Raw genomic sequence first — 12156 nt, forward strand, 5'->3', positions numbered from 1 at the left:
AAGTGGTCTATTAAACTCAACCATATCAATAATCACAATAAATGCAATGATATAGATATTCCAATTAAATGGCAGAGATTATCAAATTGGATTAGAAAGACCAACTTTATACACATCTTCCAAAAAAAAAACTTTAAATACAAAGACATGAACAGTCTTAGGCAAAAGGATGGATGCTTTGGGAGGCCAAGGTGGATGGACTGCTTGTGTCCAGGAGTTCAAGACCAGCCTAGGCAACTTGACAAAACCTCATCTCTACAAAAACACACAAAAATTGTGTGGTGGCGCATGCCTGTAGTCCCAGCTTCTTGGGAGGCTGAGGAGGGAGGCTCACTGGAGCCCAGGAGGTCGAGGCTGCAGTGAACCACGTTCATGTCACTGCACTCCAGCCTGGGTGACTGGGTGACAGAGGGAGACCCTGCCAAAAGAAAAAAAAAAAAAAAGTCAAAGGATGGAAAGATGTACCATAACACCCGTCAAAGGAAAATGGAGTGGCTACGTTAATATCAATCCAAGTAGATTCAAAGCAAATAACGTTACCAGGTGATATAGTTTGGATGTTTGTCCCCTCCAAATCACATGTTGAAATATGATTCCCAATTTTGGAGATGGGCCTTGTGGGAGTTGTTTTGGTCATAGGGGCAGATCCCTCATGAATGGGAGGGATCCCTGAAGTAATGCATTCACACAAGATCTGGTTGTTAAAGAGTCTGGAATTTTCCCCTTCTCTCTTGTTCCCTCTTTCATGTGACATGCCTACTCCCCCTTCCCCTTCTGCCATGATTGTAAACTTCCTGAGACCCTCACTGGAAGCAGATGCCAGCACTGTGCTTCTTGTACAGTCTGCAGAACTGTGAGTCAAAATAAACCTCTTTCTTTATAAATCACCTAGTCCCAGGTATTCCTTTACAGTAATGCAAAATGGACTAATACAGCAGGGATAAAGTCATTTAATAATAGTAAAGGAGTCAATTCATCAAAGGACATAACAATCCTAATGTTATGCATCTAGTAACAGCCTCAAAATACATAAAGCAAAAACTAATAGAATTGCAGGGAGCAATATACAAAAATGTTTCACAATTATAGCTGGAGATTTCAACATCTCTCAATGATTGATAAAACCAGTAGACAGAAAATCAGTAAGGATAGTACAGATTTGAAAACTTGGAGCATTAAAACCAACAACAGCAGAAAAAAACATTCTTTTCAGGTGCACATGGACATTTAAAACACTGAACTATCTTCTGGACCATAAATCTCAATAAATTTAAAAGGATTAAAGTAATTTAAAGAATGTTTGTTGACCACACTGTAAATAAATTTGAAATCAATAACAAAGATATCTGGAAAATTCCTCAAATGTTTGGAAACAAAACCTGTCTAAATTACCCATGGGTCAAAGCACAAATCAAAAGGGAAATTAGAAGTATTTTTAACTTAAAAATGAAAGCACAGCATACTAGTAATTCTGAGAGGCACTAAGGTAGTACTTAGTGCTTCACTTTAGCAAAGGAAACTTTAAAGCACTAAATAGCTACATTAGAAAAGAATGGTCACTAACTGATGACTTCAGCGTATACCTTAAACTAGAAAAGGCAAATCCAGAGTAGGCATGAGAAAGGGAATTCAAGAAATAGAAAACAAGAAATAGTGAAAAAAATCTACAAACCCAAAAGCTGGTTTGTTGAGCATATCAATAAAACCGCTAGCTTGACTGATCAGAAAAAAGGAGAAAATATGAAGATATTTTCAGAATGTTTTCAAAATTTTGAAAAGTAGAATGTGTCATGAGCAGACCAAGAGTAGAAGACATACCAAAGGAAACTCTCAGCCTGAAGGAAAATTATAGCAGATGGAAAGTCAGATCTCTACAAAGGAATAAGGAGCATCAAACATAATAAATATGCAGATAAATAAAAGTATTTTTCTTTACATTTAAAAGACAATTGTTTAAAGCAAAATAATAATAGTATATTATGGCATTTACAACATGCAGAAGTAAAACTTATGACAATAAAAACACAAATGAGGCCAGGTTGTGGTGGCTCTTGCCTGTAATCCCCCAACTTTGGGAGGCTGAAGCAGGTGGATCACCTGACGTCAGGAGTTCGAGACCAGCCTGGCCAACATGGTGAAACCCCGTCACTACTAAAAATACAAAAATTAGCCATGCATGGTGGTGCATGCCTGTAATCCTAGCTACATAGGAGGCTGAGGCAAGAGAATGGCTTGAACCTGCGAGGCAGAGGTTGCAGTGAGCCAAGATTGTGCCACCGCACTCCAGCCCAGGCAACAGAGCAAGACTCCAGCCCGGGTGACAGAGTGAGACTCCATCTCCCAATAAATAAATAAATACACAAATGATAGGAAAGGATTCTGGGAAGATGGTGGAGTAGGAAACACTAGAAATCTGTCTCCCACCTAGACAACAATAACTCAAACAGAATCAATCTGAAATAACTATTTTGGAACTCTGAAGTCTATTAAAGGTTTGCAACTTCCAGGCAAAAGCTTCGACAGGTAAACTACAGTTAATTTAATCAATTTCAGCTCTTAGCACAATACCAGCTACCTATCCCCCAACTCCAGTCCCATGGCAAGCAATGGTGCACCTGTTCCTGGAGCAGTTTGCACACAGCTTGTGGTAAGCAGAGTGCAAAAAAAGAACCCTGTTCTCCAAATATCAGGGATCTGTGCACTGATTGCTGACTCCTGCTCTGATCAAAGAGGTGCAGGTAAAGAGGTGGCAGCCATTGTTTGTCAGTCTGACCCATTACACCTCTCCCCATGACTACAAGCCCCTCCTCCTCCAGCTGAAGTGACTCCCAGGAAACTTAAAAGGCCTCTGCCCTCTTTTTCTCCTTTTCATTTTTCTCCTTTTCCCATTTGGGGAGCCAGAAAATGAGACTAGGATTTTCAAAAGCAACTGTATTTGGGGGAAAAATATGAAATTGACCTTGCATATCCAAAGAGAGGCACAGACTCAGAAAAGACCTCAGAAGACTTAAGTTTATACCTCAGGGTGATCCTTGGTACAGAGACAGTGTACAACAATTAAAAATCAAAACCACACAAACCCAAACCACAAAATAGCAAGCCCTGGGGAAGGGGATTAATCTGATTTCCACAGTTACCATATTATTAGATTCAAATGTCTATGTTTTCAACAACAACAAAAAATCAAAGCATACAAAGAAATAGGAAAGTATGACCCAAAGGAAAAAAATCAACAGAAACTCTCTGAAAAAGATCTGGTGGCAAATCTACTAGAGAAAGGCTTTCAAACAACTGTCTTAAAGATTCTCAAAAAAGAACAAAAGGAACATGTGGAGAAAGTAAAAAAATAATGTAAATAGCATATGGACAAAATAGAAATATCAATAAAGAGACAAGCAACTTAAAAGAAAACAAAAAGAAATTTTGAAAGCTGAAAGTACAATTACCGAAATAAAAAATTCACTAAACAAATTTAAAGACAGATTTGAGAAAGCAGAAGAAAGAATCAGGAAACTTGGCTGGGCAGGGTGGCTCACGCCTGTAATCCCAGCACTTTGGGAGGCTGAGGCGGGCAGATCACAAGGTCAGGAGATCAAGACCATCCTGGCTAACACGGTGAAACACCGTCTCTACTAAAAATACAAAAAATTAGCCAGGCGAGGTGGCGGGCGCCTGTAGTCCCAGCTACTCGGGAGGCTGAGGCAAGAGAATGGCGTGAACCCCGGGGGGTGGAGCCTGCAGTGAGCCAAGATCGTGCCACTGCACTCCAGCCTGGGTGACAGAGCGAGACTCCATCTCAAAAAAAAAAAAAAAAAAAAAGAATCAGGAAACTTGAACATAATGACGCAGGATTTTTCTTGGCCCCTTTGCTGGGCTTGCAGCAGGGGCACCCAACACCTCGGCCTGCTGTGCTCAGCCCCTGGTAGGAGGGAGCACATGGGCAAGCGAGTGCAGGGCTTGGCTGGTTGCTCCAAGTGCCAACACAAGAGCAAGCTCTATGCAGGCCCCACGGCCAGACCAGGTATGTTGCCCTAAGGGGATCGCAACAGTGCCCAAGCAGGGGTGCCCCATGACCCCAAATCCCCAGAAGGGGTGTTAGTGTGCTAATTAGCTCTTTTAGTTCCACTGTCCACAGCCTGATGGACGGCAGCACGTTAACAGCTCAGTCAGATTCTTGCCCCTCCCTGACCCAGGGCTCCAGAACTGGCGTGGCTCTGGGACCAGCTTGGCCCCGCCACTGCTTCTATCATGTGGGGAAGCTGCCCTCCACCGTTGAGGGCAGAGGGCCAGTGTTACAGCCTTTCTGGCCACCCACATTCAGTGAGTCCCAAGCTCTTGTCCTGCATCCAAGAAGAATGAGGTCACACTGACAATTAAAGGGTGGTAAAGACAGATAATTTTATTGAGTGAAGAAACAGCTGTCAGTGGAAAGAGGGTGGGAAGGTCGGATTGTCTCTCCTGAAGTCAGATTGTCTCTCTCAGTGTGGCTGAATCTGGGATTTTTATAGGCACAGGATAAGGGAGTGCATGCTTCCTGGTTTGTGAGTATGCAAGAAAGGTTAAAATCAAGGCACCAGTGAAAGGTGGGCACAGTGTAAAAACAATTAGGGAAGGGTAGGTATATGTAAAATAGGTTAAGGGTAGGGATCAATCAAAGGAAAGCACACCAAACCGGAAGACAGTACTCAATCCAAACTGTGAATTTGACTTGTAGCTTGGCCTCAGGCTTTAAACTTTCTTTGGCTTGAATGTGGGGTTTCACTGGGGACCTGCCCATCTGCCTAGGATTTCTCTGTCTCCTGCCTCTATCAATAAGACAGTGGAAATTATCAAGTCTGAGGAACAGAAAGAAAAAGTCTGAAGAAAAGTGAACAGAGCCTAAGGGAGTTGTGAGACATCATCAAGCTGCCCAACACAAGCATTATGGGAGTTCCAGAGGAAAGGAGAGAGAGAGACAAAGAGGCACAGAGAATACATGAAGAAATAATGGCTGCAAACATTACAAATTTGAGGAAAGATATGAATGTAAATATCCAAGAACCTCAATGAATTCCAAGCACAATGAACTGAAAGAGACCTACCCCGAGGCACATTATAATCAAATGCCTGAAAGACAATGACAGATAATCCTGAAAGTAGGATGAGGGAATTGACTCATCACATACAAGGAACCCTTAGATCATCAGCAGATTTTTCATCAAAAACTTTGGATGCCAAAGGCAATAAGCCAATATATTCAAAATGCTAAAAGAAAACAAAAAAAAAACAAAAAAAAAACAAAAAAATGTGTCAACCAAGAATCCTATATTCAGCAAAACTATTGTATTAGCTTGTTCTCACTCTGCTATAAGGACATACCCAAGACTGGGTAATTTATAAAGGAAAGAGGTTTAATTGACTCACAGTTCAGTATGGCTGGGGAGGCCTCAGGAAACTTATAATCATGGCATAAGGGGAAACAAACATGTCCTCCTTCACATGGCAGCAGGAGAAAAATGAGAGCCAAGCAAAGGGGAAAGCCCCTTATAAAACCATCAGATCTCGTGAGAACTTACTATCACGGGAATAGCATGGGGGAAACTGCTCCTGTGATTCAATTACCTCCCACCAGGTCCCTCTCATGACAGGTGGGGATTATGGGAACTACAATTCAAGATGAGATTTGTGGGGGGGACACAGCCAAACCATATCAATTATCTTTCAAAATGAGGGGGAAATTAATTCCCAGATAAACAAAAGTTGATTGAGTTTGTTAGACTAGGTCACCTCTGCAGGGTGAAATTAAAGGACCCTTGACAGTAACTAAAGTCATTTGAAGAAATAAAGATCTCAATGAAGGTAAATACATAGGCCACTACCGAAGCTAGTATTATTATTATTTTTTTGAGACAGAGTCTTGCCCTGTTGTCCAGGCTGGAGTACAGTGGCACGATCTCAGCTCACTGCAACCTCTGTCTCCTGGAGGGGTCAAGCAATTCTTATGCCTCAGCTTCCCAAGTAACTGGGATTACAGGTATGCACCACCATGCCTGGCTAATTTTTGTATTTTTAGTAGAGACAGGGTTTCACCATGTTGGCCAGCCTGGTCGCAAACAGGTGATCTGCCTGCCTTGGCCTCTCAAAGTGCTAGGATTACAGGCATGAGCCACCATGCCTCAACCAAAGCTAGTATTATTTGGACAAGGGTTTGTAACTCTACTTTTTGTTTTCTACACTTTTTTTTTTTTTTTGAGACAGTCACTCTGTCGTCCAGGCTGGAGTGCAATGGCGCAATCTTGGCTCACTGCAACCTCTGCCTCCCAGGTTTAAGCGACTCTCCTGCCTCAACCTCCCGAGTAGCTGGGACTACAGACACATGCCACCACACCTGGCTAATTTTTTGTATTTTTAGTAGAGACGGAGTTTCACTGTGTTACCCAGGATGGTCTCAATCTCCTAACCTCATGATCTGCCTGCCTCGGCCTCCCAAAAGTGCTGGAATTTCCGACGTGAGCCCCCGCGCCCAGCTCTTTTTTTTTTCTTTTGACAGAGTCTCACTCTGTCGCCCAGGCTGGAGTGCAGTGGCATGATCTCGGCTCACTGCAACCTCCACCTCCTGGGTTCAAGCGATTCTCCTGCCTCAGCCTCCTGAGTAGCTGGGATTACAGGCGTGCGCCATCACGCCCAGCTAATTTTTGTATTTTTAGTACAGATGGAGTTTCACCATGTTGGTCAGGCTGGTCTCAAACTCCTGACCTTGGGTGATCCGCCCACCTCAGCCTCCCAAAGTGCTGGAATTACAGGCATGAGCCACCGCGCCCGGCCTCCACATTGTTTTCTACATAATTTAAAATTCTTTTTTTTTTTTTTTTTTTTTTTTTTTTTGAGACAGAGTCTCACTCTGTCGCCCAGGCTGGACTGCGGACTGCAGTGGCGCAATCTCGGCTCACTGCAAGCTCCGCTTCCCGGGTTCACGCCATTCTCCTGCCTCAGCCTCCCCAGTAGCTGGGACTACAGGCGCCCGCCACCGCGCCCGGCTAATTTTTTTGTATTTTTAGTAGAGACGGGGTTTCACCTTGTTAGCCAGGATGGTCTCGATCTCCTGACCTCATGATCCACCCGCCTCGGCCTCCCAAAGTGCTGGGATTACAGGCGTGAGCCACCGCGCCCGGCCCATAATTTAAAATTCTAATGTGTTTAAAATAATTATTAGTTTATGTTTCGGGGAACATGGATAAAGATATAACTTTGTTACAAACAACCAAATGGGGTGGGGATGGAGCTATAAATAAGTAGATTTTTTGGCCAGGCATAGTAGCTCACACCTGTAATCCCAGCACTTTGGGAGGCTGAGGTGGGCAGACTGCTTGAGCCCAGGAGTTCAAGACCAGCCTAGGCAACATGGTAAAACCTCATCTCCCCACTGGCTGCTCTGAAAAGCCATCTTTGCATTGTGCCTCGTCAGCCTCCTTGCTCGCCGCAGCCGCCTCCGCCGCGCGCCTCCTCCGCCGCCGCGGACTCCGGCAGCTTTATCGCCAGAGTCCCTGAACTCTCGCTTTCTTTTTTATCCCCTGCATCGCGTCACCGGCGTGCCCCACCATGTCAGACGCAGCCGTAGACACCAGCTCCGAAATCACCACCGAGGACTTAAAGGAGAAGAAGGAAGTTGTGGAAGAGGCGGAAAATGGAAGAGACGCCCCTGCTAACAGGAATGCTAATGAGGAAAATGGGGAGCCGGAGGCTGACAACGAGGTAGATGAAGAAGAGGAAGAAGGTGGGGAGGAAGAGGAGGAGGAAGAAGGTGATGGTGAGGAAGAGGACGGAGATGAAGATGAGGGAGCTGAGTCAGCTACGGGCAAGCGGGCAGCTGAAGATGATGAGGATGACGATGTCGATACCCAGAAGCAGAAGACCGACGAGGATGACCAGACAGCAAAAAAGGAAAAGTTAAACTAAAAAAAAAAGGCCGCCGTGACCTATTCGCCCTCCACTTCCCGTCTCAGAATCTAAACGTGGTCACCTTCGAGTAGAGGGGCCCGCCCGCCCACCGTGGGCAGTGCCACCCGCAGATGACACGCGCTCTCCACCACCCAACCCAAACCATGAGAATTTGCAACAGGGGAGGGAAAAAGAACCAAAACTTCCAAGGCCCTGCTTTTTTTTTCTTAAAAGTACTTTAAAAAGGAAACTTGTATTTTTTATTTACATTTTATATTTTTGTACATATTGTTAGGGTCGGCCATTTTTAATGATCTCGGATGACCAAACCAGCCTTCGGAGCGTTCTCTGTCCTACTTCTCACTTTACTTGTGGTGTGGCCATGTTCATTATAATCTCAAAGGAGAAAAAAAAACTTGTAAAAAATGCAAAAATGACAACAGAAAAACCATCTTATTCCGAGCATTCCAGTAACTTTTTTGTGTATGTACTTAGCTGTACTATAAGTAGTTGGTTTGTATGAGATGGTTAAAAAGGCCAAAGATAAAAGGTTTCTTTTTTTTCCTTGTCTGTGAAGTTGCTGTTTATTTTTTTTTGGCCTGTTTGATGTATGTGTGAAACAATGTTGTCCAACAATAAACAGGAATTTTATTTTGCTGAGCTGTTCTAAAACAAACAAAAACAAAAAAAACCTCATCTCTAAAAAAACAACAAAAAAATTAGCTGCATGTGGTAGTGTGTGCCTGTAGTCTCAGCTACTCGGGAGGCTGAAGTGGGAGGATCACCTGAGCCTGGAAGGTGGAGGTTGCAGTGAGCCAAGATCGCGTCACTGCACTCCAGCCTGGATGACAGAGCAAGAGCCTGTCTCCACAAAAAAAAAAAAAAAAAGAGAAAGAAAGAAAAGAAAAGAAAAGAAAAAAAGAGGGAGAAAGACAAAACCATCAAATTTATTTAATATGTTTTATATGGTACAGGAGTCTTCATATTGAAATGAAGACCCAAAGAAACAGATAAGTGTTAGTGTGTTTTGTAGTAGGTTTGATGAAGAGTAGACAGTTGTGGAGAAATATGATAGGACATAAAGGGTATGATCTCATAATAACTGGGGGAAACTTAGCAAGACCTAAGTTTAGATTTCTTTGTGACTTTTTTTTTTTTTTTTTTGAGACGGAGTCTTGCTCTGTCACCCAGGCTTGAGTGCAGTGGCGCGATCTCAGCTCACTGCAACCTCCTCCTCCCAGGTTCATGCCATTCTCGTGCCTCAGCCTCCTGAGTAGCTGGGACTACAGGCGCCCTCCACCACGGCTGGCTAATTTTTGTATTTTTAGTAGAGACAGTTTCACCATGTTAGCCAGGCTGGTCTCAAACTCCTGACCTCAGGTGATCCACCCGCCTCAGCCTCCCAAAGTCCTGGGATTACAGGCGTGAGCCACTGCACCCAGCCAACACTTTGTCTTTAGAGATAAGAATGTTCTCTTCCAGGTGTAGAGAGGGCACCTCTCACACGAGAGACCTGCTTAAGGGAAAGATCAGAAAACTTATCCCAGGTTTATAAACTGCTTCAGGTGAGAATGATGAAGGAATCCTGCTTCCATGATTTTTCTCCAATTCCTTCAGCTCAAAATAGTATTCCGAGGTGTCATATTTTAGGTACTACGTTTTGAGTCCCAGTAGAGAAGACACAAATTACCAATGTCTGAAACAAAAACAGACATTAAAAGGATAGAGAACGTATTTTATGTCAGTAAATCAACAACTTAGATGAAATGGACAAATTCCTTGAAAGACACAAGTAACTAAAGCTGACCTAAGAAGAGAAAATATGAATAACCTAGATTAGAGAAACTGAGGTATTAAAATTTTTCCTGTTACATATGTATCTGCAGTTAGGAATCATAGCACTGCATACTTGTGGACCCTAACCCTTTCCTTCCCATGGAATCCCCAAGAAGGAACTTCAATTACTGGACAAAAGACGAGAATCTTCAAGCCTGTTCAATTGAGTAATGGTAGTGGGGGAGCTTTTGGTAGGATGATCAGAAGTCAAAAGACCTCAAGATAATCACTTCTTGTCTGCCATGCAGCTTGTGATGTAAGATGGGCATCGGGCTGTCTCCTTTTTGACAGTTATTTTCTTTGGAAAGTGAAGCAAGGGCTTAGGGGGAAGGAAGCATCGAATAGGTATCTCCATGGAATAGGATACCACATAGGCGTTTGGGCTTCAATGGACTCTACCTTGTAATACAATTCATTGCCTCAAATGCATTATGTATAAGTACCTCTCTAGAACAGGTATTGGAATTGACTAATTAAAGAGTCAAGTGGTAGCCAGTCGTGGTAGCTCACGCCTGTAATCCCAGCACTTTGGGAGGCCGAGGTGGGCGGATCACAAAGTCAGATCGAGACCATCCTGGCCAACATGGCGAAACCCTGTCTCTACTAAAAATACAAACAATTAGCTGGGTGTGGTGGCACATGCCTGTAATCCCAGCTACTCGGGAGGCTGAGGCAGGAGAATCGCTTGAACCACAGAGTCAGAGGTTGCAGTGAGCTGAGATAGCACCACTGCACTCCAGCCTAGCGACAGAGCTAGATTCAGTCTTAAAAAAAAAGAAAAAAAAGTCAACCGGCTCATTAAAGAGTTAAGGTTCTGAAAACTCTACATTAGGGACTAATACCAAGAAATACTGAGAGATAAATGAGTCCAGACATGCCTTGACAATTAATTACAGTGGAATAAAGATTAAAATCTAGACCTCAATCCATATCCTTTTCCCTCTACCCAAAGACAACCCGTTTTTCTTTTTCTTTTTTTTTTTTGAGACGGAGTTTCGCTCTTGTTGCCCAGGCTGGTTGGAGTGCCAAGGCCTCATCTCGGCTCACTGCAACTTCTGCCTCCTGGGTTCTAGAGATTCTGCTGCCTCAGCCCCTCGAGTAGCTGGTATTACAGGTGCCTACCACAATGCCCAGCTAATTTTTGCATTTTTAGTAGGGATGAGGTTTCACCAAGTCCGTCAGGCTGGTCTCGAACTCCTGGCCTCAAGCAACCCGCTCGCCTCGGCCTCCCAAAGTGCTGCGGCTGGCGACAACCCATTTCTAATCAAAATTTTGCAGTGGAACTTTTCATACTCAAATTGGGCATTTCCTGTCAAGCCTGGTCATTCATCACTTTATTATTCTCTTTATTCTACAGGTAGGGGTTTCTCTATTGACCAGGTTAGTCTCAAACTCCTGACCTCAAAAGATCTTCCCGTCTCAGCTTCCCGAGTAGCTTACAGGCTCAAGCTACGACAGCTGGCAATCTTTGATTATTTTAAGTCGGAGGGCAGGAGGCGAGGAAAGGCAGCACAGTGCCTGGTACACAGTAAATGCAGGCTAGAATGTTAATAAAATTATCCTTCATTTTAACTTCCATATTGGAGAAGACTGGTTTTGTATGTTGACTAAATATGAATTTGCAAATGCAAATCTCAAGCAGATTTTCTGTGGGAGGGGGGACTGTGCAGATTACATAATGATATAAATGGATGGAACCAGAGATCTGAGGACAGTAATTCGTCATTTGAATTAAATTTATAGAAACAATGCAATCATACACAAGGCAACGAATTAAAATGAAAACTACTTAATTATTTACTTAGCTGAAAACCTATCTGGGGAAAAAAGGACCCAAAACAGTTTGCAGTGTTTCCCCATTCGTGAGATTGCCTTTCCATCAGGCAAACCAATCTTCTGCCTTTTCTTTCTTTCATTTAACTGGGAATGGCACAACGTGTTTCTGTTTTCCTTCTAGGAAAAAGAATGGGAGGAGTCAGCAAAGACCAAGGTAAGTTCACTTATTTGAGGGCATTGGCTAAGGGAAAACATTTTAAAACTTGGTTTCCCTTTAATTGGTATTTGGGCTCAAATACTGCAAAATAAAAAAGCAGCTTTCCTCCCTTCCTATCAAACTAGTAAGCTCAGTATCAAGCAGAGACCTGGTATTTCACTGGATTTTACTATGTCCTACCCTCACAGAAAAAGAATCATCACATCACACTGGGCTCTTCACCAGGAAAGCAATGTGCATTTTATAAGCTAATTTAAGATCCTGGAAAAGAGGGAAGTGCTCAGAGTCCATACTAGAACTCCTTCCAGTTTACTGAAAACAAGAGCAGTTTTGAAGCACAGGCTATTTCTTATTCTTGTTCCCAAACACAAATGCTGCCAGCACTGAACTAAGCAACAGCCCTTCGCAAA

General features: G+C 43.3%; 1 non-coding gene and 1 pseudogene across 1 annotated transcript; both read left to right on the top strand.

Moving 5' to 3' along the window:
• On the top strand, window positions 7398-8587 carry PTMAP9 (prothymosin alpha pseudogene 9; annotated as a pseudogene).
• MIR1244-4 (microRNA 1244-4) lies at window positions 8368-8452 on the top strand. The gene has a single exon (NR_128710.1). It is a non-coding gene; the product is annotated as a microRNA 1244-4 (primary transcript).

Source organism: Homo sapiens, chromosome 12, assembly GCF_000001405.40.
Source record: "Homo sapiens chromosome 12, GRCh38.p14 Primary Assembly".
Lineage (NCBI taxonomy): Eukaryota > Metazoa > Chordata > Mammalia > Primates > Hominidae > Homo > Homo sapiens.